The sequence below is a fragment of the Homo sapiens genome, chromosome 21, assembly GCF_000001405.40.
Source record: "Homo sapiens chromosome 21, GRCh38.p14 Primary Assembly".
Lineage (NCBI taxonomy): Eukaryota > Metazoa > Chordata > Mammalia > Primates > Hominidae > Homo > Homo sapiens.
The window spans coordinates 22201682-22225123 of record NC_000021.9 but is presented as its reverse complement, the minus strand read 5'-3'; the positions used below and the strand labels follow the sequence as shown (position 1 = coordinate 22225123).

The 23442-nt window shown below is 31.4% G+C and overlaps 1 long non-coding RNA gene and 1 pseudogene across 1 annotated transcript in view; both read right to left on the bottom strand.

The window, feature by feature from the left end:
• The window catches only part of LOC107985508 (uncharacterized), a 193177-nt gene extending 177973 nt beyond the window's left edge, over window positions 1-15204 (bottom strand). The window contains exons 1-2 of the long non-coding RNA XR_007067937.1: window positions 14880-15204; window positions 12311-12389 (exon numbers count right to left, since the gene is read on the bottom strand). This is a non-coding gene — a long non-coding RNA (uncharacterized LOC107985508). The remainder of the gene's footprint in view (window positions 1-12310; window positions 12390-14879) is intronic.
• Window positions 19792-19932, bottom strand: RNU4-45P (RNA, U4 small nuclear 45, pseudogene; annotated as a pseudogene).

Sequence of the window (23442 nt, the reverse complement as noted above, 5' to 3'; positions counted from 1 at the left end):
ATTATCCCAAGACTTGGTAGGAGAAAATAAAATTCTCTCCAAAACAAATGTACCGATAAAAAAGAGAAAAGTTTAGGTTTTCCAAGCAATAGCTGATAAACTATAATAATGTATCATACAGACAGCACCTGATAATTTTTTAACTAAAATTTTGAGGGTATATTTCTGTCTTTAACTTGTTCTGCTCATTATGACTTACATAGTTTTATCTTCTTATTTGCTGTTTGTCTTAGATTATGCTCACCATGTTGTATTAAAATAATTACTTATGTAAGTAATTTGATACCTAAGATGTCATTTTCTTACTCCACAGATTTTCCTTTTCTCCTACTAGACACTGTGGATGTTAGCAGTCCAGAATCAAGGGCCATTGTTTCTAGGTGCTCTAGAGGACGTGCTGAGAAAAAGTCAACACTATTATGTCTAGTGCTGTTGTGTTCTGCATCTGGAGCTGGGTGGGTTTCATCAGGGACTGAATGGCTGGCAATCACTGGAATTCAACCTTAATTCATTAAGCTCTTCAAGTTCGCTGCATGTGGAGCTCTTTATTTACGTTTATAAGAATAAAATTATTTAAAGAGATTTAGCTCATGTGGGTCTAGCCCAGAAGAGAGATGATTAGCCAGGGTTTCCAAGTATGGCTGACACCGAATTTCAGTTCCTGTTTTACCATCTCCAAATTAGTCCATTACAGCTTAGTTCAGTCTCTCAGATACCTACACCAGATCACCAAATACATCACGGTGGAAACAATTCAGAGTCACCTGCCTTCTGTTGTTTCCTCAGTTTTTCTAGATTATTCCTCACTTTGATTTTTTAAAATATTGTTTTGATCTTTCTGTTTTTCCTTCAGCAGAACAATCAATCCAAATGAATTAAACTACTATTAACGTAGCTTAAAAGTTTCATATATTATTATTATTTCCATTTCAATTGAGACGATCAAATGTTTCTCTTTGCAGAAATAATGTGGTAAATTAATCGATATTTCTAATATTAAATCAACCTCACATTCCTGTAATAAATCTAACTTTTTTGTTTGTATTTTCACACACACACACATACTTATATCTACTTGATTTGCTAACGTTTTATATAAAATATTTTTATTTATGGTCTTCAGGGAAATTGTTTTTAAGTTTTCAATTACTACTGTGCCTCTGTTAGGTTTTATTATAACAGTTATACTGGCTTCATTTTAATTTGTAGGGTATTTCTTCTTTATTTAAGTTACCCATAAAAATTTAGTTCAAACAATTTTTTCGGTTTAATATAAATCTTTGGCATATGTGTCATCAACAAATTAATTAGTTAGCTCTGCTTGATAGCCTAAGCCATGAGAAACTATAAATCATGCTGAGAAGCACGGTACATTAGTTTTAAGAAAGAATATAGTGAGGCTTTTGCGACTCCCAAGCATAAATAGTGATATCTTTAATCACACTTCACAGGAATGTGCTTTTTTACAGTAATCAGTGCTGACTGGGAACCACCTCAACTCAGAAAGAAACTTTCATTTCTGCATTCTTTCCACTTTCACTCTTCGATAAGCATGTAACACTCTTTGAAGTGTCAGACTAGTTTCATTCCTTTGCTGCATTTTAACAAGTATAGATAAGTAAAAAAACATTTCAACAGCACAGACAAGATGTTTGACAGATACATCCTTTGAACAGCATTCACTAAACAATCTCATCAAGAACATTAGTCTATATCTAGTACAATCTTATGTATTCCACACTGAGGGAGAATTAGAGATTACATTTCAGTTCTTAACATTTTCCTTTCTTGATGAAGCCATCTGGAACTAGGCTTTTCCTTCTGGGAAGAATTTTGAGAACTAATTCTATAACCTTGTTATTGGTTATAGGTCAAGTTTTTTATTTCTCCTTATTCTACTTTAACTTTATTCACTTTAATTGTTAATATTACTGCTACTGTTTCTATTTTTAGTAGATTATTTGTGCTAAATACTCTGAACAACATGTAAAGCATGAAAATTTATATGAAATTGAGAGTATGTCTAATTTATAAAGGTTTAATATCAATTATCTCCTCAATATAACTTTAAAATATAATAATTACCAGTAACAAACATGTAGAAGATAAAAACATAATATTTAAAATTGGCACCCCAAAAATGAAATATTAGATATAAATCTAACAAAATTTTTACAGACTCTATATGAAGAAAAACCACAAGATTCAGATTAAAAAAATCAAATAACTAAATTATCCATGTTTATGGATAGAAAGATAATATTGTCAACATATCAGTTCTTTGCAATTGATCTATGGACTCAATGAAATCCCATTTAAAATTCTAGCAAGTTATTTTATGGATATCATTAAAGTTTCTAAAGATTCTAAAGTTTATACGGAGAGGCAAAAGATCCAAAACAGCAAAATGTTGAAGGAGAATAACAAAGTCAGAGGACTGACACTGCTCAATCTCAAGTCTTGCTATAAAGCTACAGTAATATAGTGTGCCATTGGCAAAGAATTAAAAAAAACAGATCAATAGATCAGAATAGAGAGCTCAGAAATAGGTCCACATAAATATAGTCCACTTGTCTTTGAAAAAAGAGCAAAGGCAATAGAAAGAAGCAACAATAATTTTTTCAACGAGTGGTGCTGGAACAACTGGACATCTACATACAAAAATATAAACGTAGATAGATCTTACACCCCTCAGAAAAGTTACATAAAACTGGATTACAGACCTAACGAAAATGCAAAACTACAAAACTTCTAGAAGATAACCCAGGAAAAAACCTAAATGATCTTGGGTATAATGATGACTTTGTAGAAACAATACTAAAGATGGAATACATGAAAAAAAACTTGATAAACTGGACTTTATTAAAATTAAAATGTAAAAATGGTAATTCAAACTTGAACAATCGAGTTAATTTCTATTAAATAACTGATATTTTGATATAATGTATAGTATGTAAATTATTCTTATATTGGTATTGAGTCTATCAGTTTTATTTATGTTGAATTTGATATTGGATATGCTCTTGTTCTTGTGCTTGCCCTTTTGCTTGTTCTCTCTCTCTGTCTTGTTCTTTTCTCTCTCTTTTTTTTCTCTCTAATAGGCTACATGAATTTTTTCAGCTATAAAAGGCAGTAGTTACTTATGTAGTAATATCTACTCTATTTTCACCCTTTCCTTTATTAACAGCATAAAGCATAGCTAGTTTTCTCATGCATATTTGTCCATGTAAAAATAAAGTATCTCCATAAAAAGTAATTTCATCTATTTAATTTATCTGTTTAATTCGGAGCACAAGGTGATGGATACAAGAATGGCAACTCTCATACTCTCATATTTTTTTTCTTTAGTATCATCTATTTGAGATTGGTTCTGAGTAGAAAACAAAACTATGTAGGTTTCATTTGCAAAAAAATGTTCAAACTCACAAGGAATGTAAACCAATATGAGGAATTATATTACAACCGAAGTATATTATAAAAAGAGTACCAACAAAGAAACGTAGGACTTCAGAAGAGTTTATTTCTGTTGGTAAAAATCAGAAGAATTGGCTGTATAAGACTGAAAGATGGGATATTATTTCAGTGGAAATGTATGCAGTTGATTAATGTCCTGGCACAGTAACAAAAGTGAGGAAAGGCTGAATAATGCAACAGTATAAGTGATGTGCAAGAAATGATATGCCATTTGAAAGTGTAGTTGGGGAAAAAGACACAGGATGGTAGAGATTAACCTGTTTAGATTTGACTTAGTAGACTGCAGAGTTGACTACTTGTGATCAAGTGAGTAAAGCATTCATTTATTTCATCTAAAAAAGTTTATCTGGGTAAGAAAGATGGAAAGAGAAACAAGACAACGAGAGGCAACTAGTTAAGAGGCTATGCAATAGCTCAAGGATGAGCTAGTATACATTTCAACCACATTTATATTAACTTGAAAAATCTTGTGTGTAGCACTGACAAAACAAATGTTTTGAAAGCTAGTAGACTAAATTTAGAATGCAGTCGCTCTGAGTTATTTTCTGTTTTAAAGTAGAGGTCAAACACAGTAGCAGATAAACAGAACACAGCCTGCAGTTGTTTTGTTTGGTTTGCATACCGCTACAAAATTGAATATTCCAAAATAAAGATGGTCTTTCTTGTTCATTAACCCACCAACTTTCTATTGCTCTATTTGTGCACAGCTTGTGTATTTATTTACTCAGTGAGGTTTACTCTGATTAATTAAAAGTGGAACCATTCTCAACTATGTCCTGTGAACCCCTTATAACTTGCTCTACATTTTATTGTACTATGTTATTATAACTTTTTCTATATTTTAATAATTATTGTATCAGAAGAAATTAAAAGTATTTTATTGAGCTCTAGGTATATCTTGTTCAATTTTAATTTATTTTTCTTAGCACTTATCACATAATAAATACGATAGTATGATTATAAAAAATTGTATTGCCTGTATTCTCTTTCCCCAACATATCCCTAGGAGAAAAATTTCACAACGGGAAGACTCTTTGCTTTGGTCACTGGTATATAGTACTCAGAATTTTGCCTGCCACTGAAGAACTCTGACAAACATTCATTGAATATGGCTCATATAATAATAACAGCTAATATTAATATGGTGTTTATTATTTTCCATGTATAATTTAATAATATTATATATAGGCTTATACCATATGAGTCAAAACCCTGTGATGTCAGTACTAATAGTGACCTCACAGTTATTATTTATAGGGCTGGGCTCAAAGTCTATTAAATTTCTTACCGCTGATTAAAATGTTTATTTCTCACCTCTGATTAAAATGTTTATCATATTTGCTGTTTCAAATTTGAGACAAAATATTAGAAAAGTGAATGGCATTTTTCATGCTACACAAGACATTTCAGGATTTAGTAGACTTGCTATCTTCTTGCAAACAAACTTACTGTCAAATATTAAGTGTAATGGGTGGATAGAGGTGGTACCTTGTATTTTCTCTCATCTTATTTTGGCAAGACATAATATTTCCACTGTTAATTCACATTAACTATTTTTAACTACTTATAAATTATACCAAATACGGATAGGTAGTAAGAGAAATGAAATCATTTCCCTGTTTCTTAGCAACATATTATATACATTACATACAGGAAAAAAATTAAACACGTATTCTCAATTTTCAATTTGTATGGGGATGTTTTGTCTCCATTAAATTTCCATTTAAAGAGTATACAGAGATACAAGTAGGATTATTTAGCATTCATTTTTTGTTTGAGGGACTTTTGGCTGTATATTTATTCAGGAGGGAATTAGGTCAATGCACGTGCCCTAGGCTATATTTTGGCTGTGTATTCATCAGAGTAGCAGAGGTGCAAATTTTTTTTTTATTTTATATTTTGCAGAAGTTCGCGTGAAACTATCTAAGATCTTTACAGTCTACTGGTACTGCAAATGACTCTAGAGAAATCCAAGGCCAATCTGATTTTTTTTTCAATTGCTTGGATGAACAATGGGTTTGTTATCAAGATGAGGACATACGGAATTTAAAAAACATAATTTATATTAATTTTAGACATTTATGTACTAAAACTTTTCCATGAAATTTTGATATATTGTTATCATGCTACTTATAAATTACTTAGATTTGTTTTACCTAAGAAGAGGTGCAAATATTTTTTCATTATTTTCAAAGTTCCATAAAAAGTAATAAGATTTGTTTCTGTTTTTACAATTATGGATCAATTATTTTTGATATAAGATGCTATCTTTCAATTTATAAACTCATATTTTATTTTCATCTTTCTTGTGCCTTATCTACTCTGTGTTCTTGCATGTCTACTTTATAATCTTCCTTTATTAAAGTGCTTTATTCTTCCTTTTAAATTTCTTCTATAATATTTAGTTACAATTCTCTTTTGCCAAAAGAACATTAAGTGAAGAGTTTTTTAAAATGTTATCTTTCTTTTAACCTCTTTTAATATTATAGTGTATGTTTCTCAGGTGGTCTAATTCTTGTTAATAATAAGTTATTATTTTATGATGATTCCTCAAGAATGTAAACACAGAATTATGTATAATCCATCAATTCCTCTTCTGGGTATATACTCAAAAGGATTGAAAGCAGAAAATCAAAGAGATATTTGTACAGAAATATTCATAGCAGCATTATTCACACTAGCCAAAAGGTAGAAACAACCATAATGTTAGTTGAAAGATAAATGGAAACAAAACCTGGTACACACATAAAATGAAATATTATTCTGCCTTTAAAACAAAGAAAATTCTGCTATGTCACAACATGAATGAATCTTGAAGAAATTGTGTTTAGTAAAATAAGTCAGACACAAAATGACAAATATTATTATGATTCCATTTATATAAGCAACCTAGAGTAGTCAAATTCGTAGAGAAAGAACTTGCAGAGATGGGGATATGGGACATTTTTGTTTAATGAGAATAGAGTTTCAATTGGAAAGATAAAAATGTTCTGGAGATGGATAATGATAATAGTTGCACAACAATGTAAGTGTATGTAATGCTACAAAACTGTACTCTTAAACATGATTAAAACGGCAAATTTTAAGTTTCATACATTTTATCACAGTAAAATAATTATTTATTATTAAATAACTGATATCCTGGACAAGATATTTCTCAATGAAAAAGTGATGATGGAGAAGACTACCGAGTTTTCCAGGGTAATTGATTTACCTTAATTAATTTGTATTCTAGAACAGTTTCACATTTGTAGAAATTCTTGCAAAGCTAGTTCAATGAGGTCTCATATACCCCATTCCGGTTTCCCCTCTTATTAACGTTTTATATTAGCACGATACATTCACTATGCTGTTGATACATTGTGATGAACCAAAGTACATGCTTTTCTTAAATTTCCTCAGTTTTACCTAATGGTAATTCTCTGCCCAGTATTCTTTCAAGGATATCAAATTACATTTAAGTCATCATGTTTCCTTAGACATTTCTAGACCGTGGCAATTTCTCATATTTTCCTTGTTTTATGTGACTTGAGAGTTTTGACGAACACTGGTTAGATATTTTGTAGACTGTTCATCAATTAAGGTTCCTCTGATATTTTTCTCAATATTAGATTGGGATTAGGAGTTCTTGGGTGGAAGACCACACAGGTAAAATGCCATTCTGATTACACCATAATAAGGTGCATGCTATCAGGATGACATCACTGATGATGTTAACCTTGGTCAACTGGCTGAAATGGTGTTTGTCAGGCTTCTTCACTGTGTAGTTATTTTCTTGAAGCTCCACTTTTCTACAGTACTCCTTGAAAGAGACTGGGACACAATTATGGGGTAGAAAATTATGGTCCACATATTTAAGGGTGGCGTATGTAAGTACATTTCTTGAAATTCATCTTGTGTAACTGTAATTTTGTACCCTTTGACCAACATCTTCCCATGTCCTCTTTCCCTGCACTACTAGTAATACTTTTTAATATTTTAAATTTTTATATAATTGTCTATATTCCATCCTGAGATCCTTCAAGGATATTTTGAGTCAATATTTTAAAATATTTCTTACATTTTAAATTTATTTTTCCCTATTCTACCAGTTATCAATCCAATCATTTGTGTATTTTTAGCTCATTCTTTTAGCAGTATTGGTAAACTTGCTTAATTTATTATTTTTAAGTCCCTCTTCAAATTTCCGCAATTAGTTCGATTATTAGTTCAAACTATTTTTCTGTCTTGTTTGTTTCTTATTAAGGTACCTACAACCGTCATGTTGTTGACCTCTCCAACAACTCACTTTGCACTTAATAGCACTATTTTCTAAATAATTTGATCTGTTACATAGCTTTAAGAACAAGAATATTTAAATGGAATTGAGAGACAGCATCCTAACACTGAGATTATGGTTTTAATTCTGTTTTACTTCTTGGCCATTAAAAAATTGTGCCTTTTTCTAAGGCTAGAAACAGTATAGTAGGCTAAAAAATGCCTCCCCCAGGTTGGTCTTAAACCATACAGCGTGAGACTGCATTATCTTACTTAGCAAAAGGAACTCTGTGCCTGTCATTATATTAAGGACCTTGAATGGGGAGTTTACCCTGGATTATCCCAATGGGCCCAATACAGGCACAAGTGTTCTTGACAAAAGTAGACAAAACTATCAGAGTGTCAAAGAGGAGAGGTGATATAAAGATAAAGAGTGGAGTTATGAGTGATGTGCTTTGAAGATAAAACAAGGAGTCACAGAACAAAGAATGCAGGTAGCTTTTAGAAGCTGAAAAATGTAAGAAAATGGAATCTTCTCTAGAGTCTCCAGAGAAAATGCAGTTCTGAGGACACCCTGATTTGAACCCATAAGATACATTTCAGATTTCTGTCTTCTAGAACCATAAGATAATAATTTTTTGTTGTTTTAAGCCATTAAGTTTGTAATCATTTATTAACAGCAGTAACAGGAAAACAATATAGATGCCATTATTTAATTTTCCATGTTTTCTTATGTAGCATAATAAAAATTGGATCTAATATTTTATTTCTTTTTTGAAATACAATGTTATATTAAAGAAGACAGTGCAAAGGTATTTAAATGTTATTCCTTGTACTTAAATGTAAAACCATATATATACACATATACGTATATATACATATATGCATACATATATACACACATATATGTATGTATATATTTAATTTCTTTTGGTAAGTCACTGAGATCCAATTTCCAGATGCTTTCTAACAAAAATATGTCACAAAATTAGTAAATGCCTGGAAGAGTCTTGGAAGAGGATCTTCAAAATGTCTTCTTTAATAATGACATTAGCTCTTAAAATAATTAGAGGGGAGCTAAACATGGGAAGATTCAAAAAACATTGTATTTTTTAAAAATCTGACCTCTTTAAATTTGGAAAAATAATACATATGGACTAGGCATTGGAGAACATAATGATTCAATACATTTATAACATGATTTTCTACTTGCAATTCTTCCAAATTGTAAATTAATGTTTTACTCTATGAATTAACATTTCAACAGAAAATGTGCTCAAATATATTTTGTTTAACTCAACTACAAATGTTTGAATTTGTTTAGATGAGATATGCTACCTAGGAAAGAGTCATCTAGCATGAGCAAGTTGACAGTAGTAGAAGATTTTGTAAATCTTTGCCAATTTATCTAAATGTTCATATTACAGCAAAGGTCTCCACTGACAAATTCCTTTTCAATTCCTATTTTGCCACATGGCTATATTCTCATTCTTACAATAAAGTGAGATATTTATTTTCATGAATCAGTATTATATATATATGTGTGTGTGTGTGTGTGTGTCTGTGTGTGTGTGTAATCATTTGAATGCAATTGACTGTCATCTCATGTTTGATCTTAACCTATAATTTTTGTGAGTATCTATATGGTAGTATATTGTCCATAGTAACTTACTCACAAGAACTGCATGAAATATTTAACATTCTTAAATTTGTCCTTCTGGACAAATTTCTGGCAACATTTATATCATATCCTCTATTAGATAATGTTATCTGACTTTGGAAAATGGAACCAGCTTTCAGGAAGCTCTAGTGAAAGAGTGAGCAGTTATTAAAAGAATATAATAGTTTTTCATGGGTCCAAATTGAGAAATTAATAATCATTAAAAAGAATATATGTACAGTGATGTGTCACTTAAAAACAGAATAGACTCTGAGAAGTGCGTCATTAGGTGACTTTTATCATTGCGCTAATATCACAGAGTATCCTTACACAAACTTAGATGGTAGGGTCTACAACAATCCAAGCTATGTGTTATACTCTTTTTCTCCTAGGTTACAAATTTGTATGGCATGTGATTCTACTAAATACTATAGGCAGTTGTAACACAATGATAAGTATTTGTGTATCTAAACATATATAAACATAGAGAATGCACAGTAAAAATAGAGTATTATAATCTTATAAAACCGTTATTGTATACAAGGTCCACTGCTGACTGAAATGTTATGTGGCAGATGACTGTATATATATTGCAAATATACAACTAATAACATAAAGCATAAGGGCTTATCAAAGCTTTTTTTGAAACACATTCACTGATCAGGTCACTTAAAAATAGCCATCTAAAATTCCATGTATCTTTTCTAAAAATTCTCATTCTCAAGTAAAAAATTCCCATTGGCCCATCATGGACATTATGGAAAACTGGCAAATACGCCTCTTCTGTTACTATGTGTGTATTGGGGTTGGGTGAAGGGTGTGGTGTCCTCACTGACTGTCTCAAACAAATCACGTGGAAATGGAAAGAAAAAAACATAAAAGAATAGTTCTAAAAGAAAAAACGCATCATGATGTATCTACTAGGTATACATTCAAGATTTGCTTGATTCTTAAAACTGAGCTCTCTGGTAACTCACCTAAATAGGTGTTGAATTTAATTCAAACTTGATAGTGTTCTTTTATTTAATTTCCCATTCTTTATCCTTTGGTAATCTTGTTTTTTTGCTTTCTAATATCTTGAGCTGCTACATGGAAAAAACCAATGAAAGTGAACTATTCCCCTTAAACCTCATTTTATGAAATCTCATCTTTTCTGCTTGCCAGAGATGAGTTTTCCCTGTAGATATTTCTTCATTCTCGGCCACTAGACTGATGTTATTTTTCCCCAGGTAATTTTGCTACCTAATTTATGTTACATATAGGTAAAACTATCTTATAGATGATTGAATAATAAATTACTATAATCCCATTCTTTAGCATCTCTTCCTACTAGGTCTATTCAGCCACTTCATCATATTAGCTTCTTTTAAGGACAGGGAACTTAGAGGAAAATTACTGTAGAAAGTGATTGCATGTAATTTTCTTCTTGGGATTCTTTGCTAAATTGAAATTTAGATGTATATGCTACAAATTCTGTATTCATGGTCCTACTGCACCCACCCTATTTTTACCTAAGGAAATTAGTTTCCCTTAGTTTTACCTGCCAACTACTTCTGGAAGGTACCAATATTCCAGTTTATGCATACTGAAAACAAGTCTTAGGCATCCTTTAATTCAGAGCCCTTCTTCTTCTTCTCCCTGCTTCCTGTCTCTGGCCCTTGTGAGACTGATAGGTTGCAATGCCCAAAGAGTGCTGTAGTGAATATGCACTTTTATATACATTTATACTTCACCCCAACAATAGACAAAAAAAATCCCTAATTGCTTTCACAAATACTAAAATTACTTCATTTAATAAGCCGGTATTCAAAACTTTCCCTTAGATGAAAGAACTTACCGTGAAAAATAATATTCAAGTACTGCACAGTCTGAAACACGTCACAAGTCCCTTTGCAGGCCACCTCTTGGCAGGCTTTTAGCATTTCTCCACTTGGCAAAGGAGAACTCACCTACCCCTCATGCCACCATCACTAAGAGTCTCAGGTCTTTCTGTCCATCCCTTAGAATGTGGGCCAAACTAACTGCACACCAGCAGAAGGAAGAAGGTCTTTTTTTTTTTTTTCCTCTCTCCAGCCTATGGTCTCCTTCCCACAGCAGGATTTTAGGTAATAAATTTTCATATTCCACAAAAGACTATCTGCTGGGGAATCCATACCTTCAGGGAAACAACCCACATTTACCCAAAGAAATGTAGTCAATTCTGATGACCCCAAAAAGGACAATCATCAGTAAGGCATTTCTCAAACTCTGGGCTATTTAAAATACCTCAGGTGAGATTTAACATATAATCTTACTTATCAAAAGTAAATATATATTTTATATAATCTTTCCTTCAGATTAAATAAAAATCCTCTTTGCTCTATTTTCAATACTTCCTATTCAAGCTTGGCATATGCACAGAGTTGTACAAATGCATTCATACAACAGAAACATAGTACAGTTTATAAGAATATGATAATATAAATCAACATTGAGAAATAATACATGGTTTCTAAAAGAATATTATGTGCAGAAGCAGAGTTCTGCTACAAGTTCACCAAACAGAAAAATCAGCTTATAAGTTTAAATATTTGCATTTTCATTATTTTATTTTACTCAAACTTTTCAAAAGAGCAATGTGTACTATATCTGTCACAATTGTATCTGAAAAGCTAAAGCATGTAGCTAAGTTTTAGAATGACAGTAACAAATATAGTTTTAATTCCTCTTTGGATTCTCATCAAATATTTGGCATTGAGAATTAAACAATTTATTTTTCTATGAACTAAAAATCTAAAAATGAAGAGAATAAGGCAATAAGTCAAAATTTCCCAACAAGTAGCAACTTATACACAATCTAATATAAATACTACATTAAATATTGGAATACAAAAATATCTTAGAAGTCTAGGAATTCTTGTGGAACCTTCTTAGACATACCTTAAGTTCATTTTAGGATTCAGACACATCTGCAGAGGATTGTTCTTTAGTCTCCTTTCAGGGAGAACTCAAGAGTTTTCTAGGACAAAGGAAAATAGAGTGAAGAAATTTTGAAGAGACCATAATGGCTGCCTCTTGCCAGTTTGGATTCTTTCATTATGCCTAAGTTTTAAGGACAAACACTGCAAATAAAAGTCAAACCAAAGGAGATGTTTTATTAATGACATATAACAAAGGTTATTAGATTAGGAGGTTGTTAAGGTTTTAATCTATTGAAATTTGCATGATTGAGGTGAGCTGTTCCTAAGAGGAATGCACAGCTAACGTGAAGTGTCAGCAGTGGCAATGGTGGCTTCATCAATTTTCAAGACATACATACATACAGTGATGGGGAGACTAGACAAGTATAACACCTTAGAAATTTGCACAGTACACAGGCTCTGGCCACATATCAATTGGACCCACATCCTGGATCTACCACTTATTATCAGTATGATCTTGAATAAGCCCAAATTTTTTTAACTATACAGTGATGATAAATTATTGATAGAACCTGTATCTCAGAGCTGTTGTTAGGAGATTCTGGCAAAGTATTGAACACAGTGACAGATACACAGTAAGTATAGTAAGTTCTCTGCAAATGTTATGTCATTAATTTTTCTCCATTTCCACCAGTGCCCTTCGACAAGCCAGTGTCATTGTGACAGTGACTAGTGTTGTCAACATTGGTGCTGCGTCAAATGATAAACATCTGTTCAAAATTTAATGACTTTGAGCCTTCACCAATATGCCTTCACAGAGTTCTGGGTTGCAGATATAATTGTGGCAACTGAGATCACAATAAGAAGGGCAGAGAAAGAAACAAGTAAAAGTAAAGGGAGTAATTCTTCAATTCAAACATCCTGCCTCCTTTAGAGGTCTAATCCAATGTCTGCTATATTTGTGTTTTTATTTGTTTATTTTCAAAACTAATATTTTGCCCGAAGACACATATACTATTTTTGCCTCTGTTCCTTAGTTTATCATTTTACTCTATTTGAGATTAAGAAGTTTGTTTTTTAATTTATGGATACATAATAGTTGTATATATTTATAAAATACATATGATATTTTGGTGGAAGTATAAAAAGTGTAATGATCAAATCAGGGTAATTGGGATATCTGTCACTTTAAATATTTATCTTTTTGGGGGGAAACATCTCAAATCCTCTCTTAGATATTATGAAATATACAATAAATTATTGTTAACTGGTTGCTCAATTGTGCTAACATAGATGGTTACCCCAATTTCCATATAAATTTAGGATGTGTAATAAAAGATGCCATTAAGTCCTCTTACTTGAGAACTAGTTACTGCTTATCTTGAGAAAATGTACGTAATGGGGCCTATCTGCTTAAGTATATAAAACAGTAAAATTGCCAACAAAAAGTACAGACAAGATGAATTCACAGCTGAATTCTATTAGACATTTGAAAAATAATTGGTACTAATCTTGTTGACACTATTCTACAAGACAGAGAAAGACGAAATCTTTCTGCTATCATTCTATGAAGTTGGTATTACCCTAATACCAAAACCAGGAAAAGACAAAACAAAAAAAAAGAATACCAATATCCTTGATGAATACAGATGGAAAAATCTTTAAGAAAATACTAGCTAACTGAATCCAACAGCATATCGAAAAGATAATCCACCATTATCAAGTGGGTTTCACACCAGGGAGGCCATAGTCACCAAAACAGCATGGTACTGGTATAAAAATAGGCACATAGACATAGATCAACGGAACAGAATAGAGAACCCAGAAATAAACCCAAATACTTATAGCTAACTGATCTTCGACAAGGCAAAGACATAAAGTGGAGAAACAACACCCTATTCAACAAATGGTGCTGGGATAATTGGAAAGCCGCATGTAGAAGGACAAAACTGGATCCTCATTTCTCACCTTATGCAAAAATCTACTCAAGATGGATCAAGGACTTAAATCTAAGATCTGAAAACATAAAAATTCTAGAAGATAACATTGGAAAAATCCTTCTAGACGTTGGCTTAGTCAAAGACCTCATGACCAAGAACCCAAAAGCAAATGCAACAAAACTAAAAATAAATAGATGAGGCTTCATTAAAATAAAAAGCTTCTGCACAGCAAAAGAAACAATCAGCAGAGTAAACAGACAATCCACATATTGGGAGAAAATCTTGGCAATCTATACATCTGATAAAGAACTAATATCCAGAATGTACAAGTCACTCAAACGAATCAGCAAGATAAAAACAATCTCATCATAAAGTGGGCAAAGGACACGAATAGACAATTCTCAAAAGAAGATACACAAATGGCAAACAAACATATGAAAAACTGCTCAACATCATTAATGATCAAGGAAATGCAAATCAAAACCACAATGCAAGCCGGGTGCAGTGGCTCACACTTGTAACCCCAGCACTCTGGAAGCCCAAGACGGGTAGATTTTTTGAGGTCAGGAGTTCGAGACCAGACTGGCAAACATGGTAAACCTCTTCTCTAATAAAATACAAAAATTGTCTGGGTGTGGCGGCCCATACCTGTAATCCCAGCTACTTGGGAGCCTGAGGCAGGAGAATTGCTTGAACCCAAGAGGGAGACGTTGCATCACTGCACTCCACCCTGGGTGGCAGAGTGAGACTCCGTGTCAAAAAAAGAAACCAATAGGTCGGGCGCGGTGGCTCACGCCTGTAATCCCAGCACTTTGAGAGGCCGAGGCGGGCGGATCACAAGGTCAGGATATCGAGACCATCCTGGCTAAAACGGTGAAACCCCCTCTCTACTAAAAATACAAAAAAATGAGCTGGGCGCGATGGCGGGCGCCGGTAGTCCCAGCTACTTGGAAGGCTGAGGCGGAAGAATGGCGGGAACCCAGGAGGCGGAGCTTGCAGTGAGCCGAGATCGCGCCACTGCACACCAGCCCGGGCAACAGAGCGATACTCCGTCTTAAAAAAAAAAAAAGAAAGAAAAAGAAAAAGGAAAAAAACCCAACCAGTGCAATATCACCTTATGCCTGAAAGAATGGCCATAATTAAAAAAAATTAAAAATAATAGATGTTGGTGGGGATGTGGCGAAAAGGGAGCAGTTTTACACTGCTGGTGGGAATGTAAAGTAGTACAAACGCTATGAAAAACTGTGTAGATTTCTTAAAGAACTAAAAGTAGAACTACCATTTGATTCAGCAATCCTCCTCCTGGGTACCTACCCACAGGAAAAGAAGTCATTATACAAAAAAGATACTTGCACACACATTTATAGCAGCACAATTCATAATTGCAAAAGTATGGAAGTAAGCCAAATGCCCATCAATCAACAAGTGTTATATAAAATGGAATTTTATATATATAAATAAAATTTTTATACTGAGTAGTATTCCATTATATATATAATATATATAATGGAATATATATTATATATAATAGATAATGGAAAATATATTATATATTATATAATGGTATATCTATTATATATAATACACAATGGAATATATTATATATAATATATGATGGAATATATATTATATATATTATATATGATGGAATATATATTATATATTATATATAATGGAATATATATTTCATATATATTATATATAATGATATATATAATATATAATATATATAATGGAATACTACTAAGCTATAAAAATATAAATATCTATATATATAAATACTACTCAGCTATAAAAATTTATATATAATATAAATATATATAAGTATATATAATTATATATAAGCTTATATATATACATATATACTTATGTATATATACGTATATATATAAGTATATACTTATATATAGTATAAGTATATATAGTGTAAGTATATATATACTTATACATATATAAAAATATATATGTGTATATACTATATACACTTATATATAACATATATAATTATATATAACATATAAGTATATATAAGTATATATTTATATATAAATGTATATAATTTATTTTTATATTATATATAATTATATATATAATGTAAATATATATTTTACATATTATAATATATATTTATATTATATTTATATATAATTATATTTATATATAACGGAATACTACTCAGCTATAAAAAGGAATAAAATAATGGCATTCACAGCAATCTGGCTGGAATTGGAGACCATTATTCTAAGTGAAGTAATTCAGGAATGGAAAACCAAAGATTGTATATTCTCATTCATAAGTGGGAGCTGAGCTATGAGGATGCAAAAGCATAAGAATGATACATTGGACTTTGTGGATTCGGGGGAAAGGGTGGGAGGGAGGTGAGGGATAAAAGACTACTAATTGGAGACAGTGTGCATTTCTCGGGTGATGGGTGCACCAAAATCTCAGAAATCACCACTAGATAACTTATTTATGTAACCATACACCACCTCTTCCCAAAAATCCTGTTGAATTTTTTTAAAAAAGAATTTTTTGTGTAAATAGTGCTTAGAGGATTATTAAAACCCAAAGTTAATGATTCTCATCATAAACATCTTTCTATTTTAAAATGTCAAATACTTCAAAGTTTTAAAAGTACTTTATAACTCAAAAATCATTTTTTCAAATATTAAATATATTGTGAGAAATAAGATACCTATTATAATTCTAGAAATTAAAAACACAGAAACATTTGCAGTCAAGACTTTTTAAGTTGAGTGTAGTATTTGGCAATAGGATGAAAAATCAAGTGATGGAAAGTTATAGGACACAGAATAGAGAAAAAAGTTGAATAAATTTCAGGAGGGTTAGATAAGTCACTAAAATATCACCTTACGCCTTAAAGGTGTAAGGTGTATCAAATATTTGGTACTAAAAAAGCATCAAATAACAAGTAGTACAGAAAGATTATTTAGGTATCAATACATTTTCAACTTTAAAAATGGCTCCTATACTCCAGATGAGAATGCAATCTGGCTTAATCCTTGGTTTTAGCCTTGTAATACCCTGAACAGAGAAGCAGCTACACTCTGCCTGTCTTCTGATCGATAGAAACTGTGAAATAATAAATGGGGGTGTTGTTATAACTCAAGAAAAATAAATCCTAGAATTTAAATAAATGAAAATATGACATTATAAATGGTAGATGATTATTTAAAAGCAGTTGTATTTGTTAATTTCACTTGGTAGACTTGTAGCAAATATGCATATATTTTACTTAAAGTTTTGCAGTTATTTAGTCTATTTTCAAACTTCAAGTACAATTTTCAAGGTGGAAAAAATGTAACTGACCAGTAATGACTAGCACTCATATTTACTTAGTTAAATGGGTGCTTATTTTGAGATTTTAAAACATATATTTCAAAAAAATGGATGAATTAGACAACTTTTTAAATTTTTCTTAAATATTTTAAAATGATAGACCTGTACTTTTCACAACTTCATTGTATTTTATAAGGAAGACACTTAAATATGAATAAACTCTGAAATAAGTTTATGCTCACATCCATTAAATCAGACTACCCAGTTTTTAAAAACATGTACATGTATTCATTACGGTCATTTATTTGTGCACTCTTGCAAAGTTGAATTAATATAATAATAAAATTATATCTTAAGATATGTAAAACATGTTAAATGCTTCTAAAAATGTTTAATGAAATTCTACTTCTAAATACACTCATTGATCTATTCATTGGACAAATATTTATTAGGAACCTATTATATACCAGGACTACTTTTAGAAGCTGGAAATATGTATAGCAGAGTACAGAAACAAACCCTTGCTTTCACTGGCTTACAATCTAGTGGAGATATATAATAAACAATAAACAAATTAAGAAATACAATTTTTCAGGAGTTAAAATTGTTGTGGAAAAAATAAATCAGAGTAAGATGAAGAGAGTGAAAGCAGCTATTAATGACAGGTGGTCATTAAGTCTTCTCTGAGGAGATCATATTTTAAGAAAAGAACTGAATAAGTGAAAGAACTCATATACATGCAAGTGCATTATTTGTGAGACTTAACCCATACAATAGAACATACTGTTACTTTCCTGTTGCATAGATTTTAAAATTGATTGAAATAACTTTGGAACATATGATGTCTAAAGTTCAAGGACAGGTAGACTAGGTCTTAGCCAAAGGTTCTTCTTGCTAAAATTACTTTCTTGTCCAGCTGAGCTTACTTTTAAACAAACAAGCAAACAAAAAACTAAATACATGAGGCTGATTTTTATTTTTAAAATATTGAAGTTTGGTAGTGATTAATGGGATAATTATCAATAAAGCAAACATTCAAACCTGTTTTCATTTTGATGCTTTTGTACTTTTTCTAGGTTTGGATTAGTTAGCTCAAACAATAATTTACATTTTAATCAAATTTCATGTTAGCAATAGATACCTTCGTCCATGACAAAATTGGAATTAGGATTTTCACATGAAATTATTTCATAATTATAATCTCAAGTTTGATTTGATTTGATTGGCTGCATGTCCTTTTTATCTTTACTTAAAAACATCCTGATTCCAAATTTCAGCTTTCATCTTAAAAAAATACCAAAATATTATTTTCCTATCAGCTTAAAGAGCACAACTAATATCTGAAATTTAAAAATCCATATAACAAATGATAGTATTCATTTAAAAAATTCCAACACCAATCGGCCTTAGCCTGCTCTGTTTCATAAGTAACTTGCATACAAGTTTGCAAAGAAAATATTAATGCATATTTTAGACTGAAAGATTTCAGAATACAGAGACATTCATGGGCAGAAATGAAAGTCATCAGGTTTGGTGGCTTAACAATAAACAAAAAAATCATAACAACAAGCATTTCTTGAAAATTTTCATTGTGCTAGAATGTTTACAAAATAGTTTCATGCTTTAATCCATATTGTTCTAATAACAAATTTATAAGACAGGTACTGTAATTATTTTCATTCCATTGATGAAAAACTAGTGATCTAGAAATGCTGATAACATGCCAGAGATCAAATAAGTAGTTCATGGCGGAGCTGGGCTTCCAACCAAGGTCTCTCTCCAAAGCCTGTGGAAAATGGTTTCTCTTGATGCCCGAATGAGAAAATATTTGTGAGGAGAAAGGCATGTGTACAAATCAGTGGTAGAGCCAGAAAACACAATGGCAAAAGAAAAAAAAAAAAAAAACCGTGGGCGGCCTGGAATTTATATAATTTGTATATTACAATGTGGATATATATTGTCTTGTGGGGCAGTAAATATGAAACAAAAAACGCAAAATAATTAGACTTGTAAGGGTCTTAGAAGTGTAAGGGTCTTAGACTTGTAAGGGTCTGAAGACTTGTAATTTGGCTTGCAAGGGTCTTAGAACTGCATATTGTACCATCGTTAATTACACAGCTGGGCAAGTTAAACGGAAGAGGTTTGTAAAATTATGTGACCGTACATTCAACACAAAGTTAGATGTAAAGTCCTTTACATGGAGCTAAGTTTTTTTTTGTTTTTTTGTTTGTTTTCGTTTTTTTAAACAAAGATGGTTCATTCTCTGCAGAGACTGTCGAAAATTGCCAATGTCGACCATATTTCAAGTCATCATGGCCGGGTATTGGGAAAAGTTTTGAATTAGCAATACTTGCACCTCAGATAAACCTCATCAGCTAGCATACTTCCACTGTGCAAAGGTGGAGCTAAGTTTTTACACAGTAGAATCACCTAGTAGCCAAATGGAAGAGGATAAGGAAAACTTTAAAATCTATAATTAGGGGTCTTTCGTTTGTATCTCTAAGGAAAAACTGGAAATAAGAGAACTAGGACAAAACAACACTAATTGGGATTTTTCCCAGATGTTCTTTTTATTCCAGGAACTGGCATGAACTGCTTGAGAGTTGAAAACAAGTTTTTCTCAAAGCTTAAAATAGGAAATAACAGTAATATAGCTAAGGATCATTCTAAAATAGTCTATACTACTTCCATAATGGATTCATGAGAACAGGAGAAGAAAACTGATTAAGATTCTAGAACCTAGAACAGCAGCTCACAAATCTTTTGGTGTCAGGACCCCTTTATACCCTTAAATATTATTAATGAATCCACATGTCATTTTTGTGTATAGCTGTCAAAATTTATGGTATTAGGAATTCAAACTTAGCAATATTTAAACTTATTCTATTCCAGTTATTAACTATAATTACACATGATAGCAAAAATAACTTACTTAAAAGATTACACTTACTTATTTAAAAGATTATTAACTTACTTAAATTAAATTATACACTTATTAACTTACTTAAAAGATCACACTTAAAAGATTAAAGATTACACTTTCCCAAACAAAAATGTTTATTGAGAAATAGTGGCTTTATATTATATTTTTGTGCATCTCTTTAATGTCTGACTTACTAGAAGGCAGCTAGATTCTCATAACTGTTTTTATATACAATCTTTTGTGATATATCTTTTAGCTCCTGGAAGACTTCACTGGAAGACTTTATTCTCTTGAGATATGGAAAGTGAAAAAAGCAGATATCATAATATTATTATGATTTTTTTTAATCTCTAAGACCCTTGTATTGTAACATGGTTCACACTTTGAGAATTGCTTGTCTGGAACAATGCCCCAGCAGACAGTAGATGTTAAAGTAATGCTTTTGAGTGAATGAATGTAAATCTCAGTTACAACTTGCCATAAAAGTTTGTTCTTAAATTGCATTCACTGTCATCCTGGGAAATAATCAATTAGACAAGTTCCTGTGTTTAGATTGCCACGTTCATTAAGTCCTCAGGGTTGGAAGTCTTGAGAGCATTGACTAACCTCTGCTGTAATAATCTGGATCTTAGGGCAAGAGAACATGGCTAAGGCGAAATGTAAGTGAGATCAAACTTCAACACAAATATCCAGGAAGGACTGTCACAGCTAAAAAGCCCTTTGAACTCTTAACAATAAAACCAGTTAGGGTTCTATCATACAGAATGTAACCCCCAAATATATCAAAAATCTTATTTTAATATAAAGAATATTGTATTGACAATTGACAATATTACAGTGAGTCTAGACAGTACATTAAAGTGTGAGATAAATACATATATATTTAACTTATAAACATGTATGCATACATAAATTCTAGCTGTGCTTAAATTAAATTAAGTTAAAATTACTATAAAAATATTATTTAAGATTCAAGACCAAAAGAAAGATTATCATATAGAATCCTCATGAACTTTCTGTTTAAAAATAATGACTTTTTGTTGTGCCATTTACCTTTTTCAATGTAATCTCTTCACTAATATAAAATACCAAAATCTTAATGTCTCATATATCCTGGGAAAGGTGCTTTACTACTTTAACCTTTTCAATATTTTGTAATATGATTGTCATACCTTTCTACTTCACTTATAGTTTACAGCCTTGGCGAACTGTGGGGAAGAAATTAGATTGTCAAGGGAAAAAAAATACAAAATGCTAAAGATTAAAGGCATCAGCTCTAAATATTAAACTGTCTGATTTTATTCATCTTATAAAAGACTTAATAATTTTGGTAGTCATATTTTGGAAGAGACTTTTTGCTAAAGAAAGATAACTCTAATATGATATAATTTGGTGGAATACATGCATGTTTAAGGGTTTGTGGGTGTTTGTGTTTGGACATGTGTAAGAAAATAGCACTTTATAGAAGAAGGACTATGTTTTATTTGATTGTCAGGCTTGTGCAATAATCTCAAAGCCAGGAGTCAAATTTAAATTTACAGAAGAGCAGGCAAAGTTGCTAGGTTGAAGAAATTGAATCCAAGCCTATTCATTCATGGTCAGGGGGATGGATGTATAGGTCTATAAAGACCAAAAGACAGCTATATTTGGCTAAAAAAAAAGAGAAAGTGAATATGGGTGGTAAATATTACACTTCAGAAAATAATGTAACATTTATATTCATTGCTGAGAAAAGGCTGATATAGATAGCTCAGATAATCTGAAAAAGAGGGCTTGGTTTGAAAGCTTGACACTAGGCTGAAAAGAAGAGAAATAGAGTGGTAGGAAAAGCTGCTCTGTAAGACTAATGCTTCACTTACATCCAAACTCATGGGTTACAATAATATCAGACAAAGAAAGCCTGCACATCTTGCTGGCTCATAAATGCATGTACTAGCACTCTGCGTTCTCTCTTTCTCTATATACATTTGCAGATGTATATATCTGTCTTCATTAAAACTCAATCAAGGAGAACATTTGTATTTCTAGCTGAAAAGCAGTTTTCATGTCTTGGTAAGTAAACTACTTTATTGTGTGCATATTATTGCAATGTAACTCAGAGAAAGGCATTAGATAAGACATTTCTTTCTGTTTTGTTTAATCCAAGAGATTTTAACCAAAAGGTGAACTAAAATGAATAAGTATAAAGACTTAACAACAGAAAAATTACTTCCCCTTAGAAACTTGGATAACTAAAGCATGAGAAGCCAGTGCTTTCTGAAACCTATGCGCCTTCCAGAGCATTTTTTAAAAATTCTCAGATAAATAATGAGCATTTCTAAAAGAATAAGCATTTTCTAAAAAATAAAAATAAACTGTGCTTATTTGTACCTACACTAAAATATAGTAATGTAAAGAAAGTTTACTTGTGTACTCCTTTGTTAATCCGCAAACCCCTAAGTAAATTATAATCACTTCAATACATGTTAAAATATGAATACAGTTTTTTCTTTTGTAAATTTTGTCACATGGATATTCAGTTACATATTTTTATGAAATGTATTTATATTAAGTATATATTTTATCATATATGGAGTATAGAACATTTAGTCTTTTCATGCATAAATCACCATTAAAATAATTTGAAACTTAAAGATTCTATCTGGTCCAGATACTGAAGCACAGCTATCTATCTTTAAAAAAAAATACAACTGAACTAGTTGGACTGTATGGGAATAATAACAAATAAACAAAGAAAATATGTGTTACCGAAAGCACTGCACTCAGGATACTTCATCTCAGTTCTACCCTCACTGCTACCTCTTCCTACCATTTTCACTTTCTTTTTAACCTGCAGCTTTATACTACATCTGGACTAATCATCCACTTCTTTGTCCCTTCAGCTAATATTTGAAGATAAATCTCAGTAAGGTAACACATTACTATAATAATCACAGAGTAATTATTTTATCATCATTATTTATTTACTTACTTTTGTCCTTTTTATTA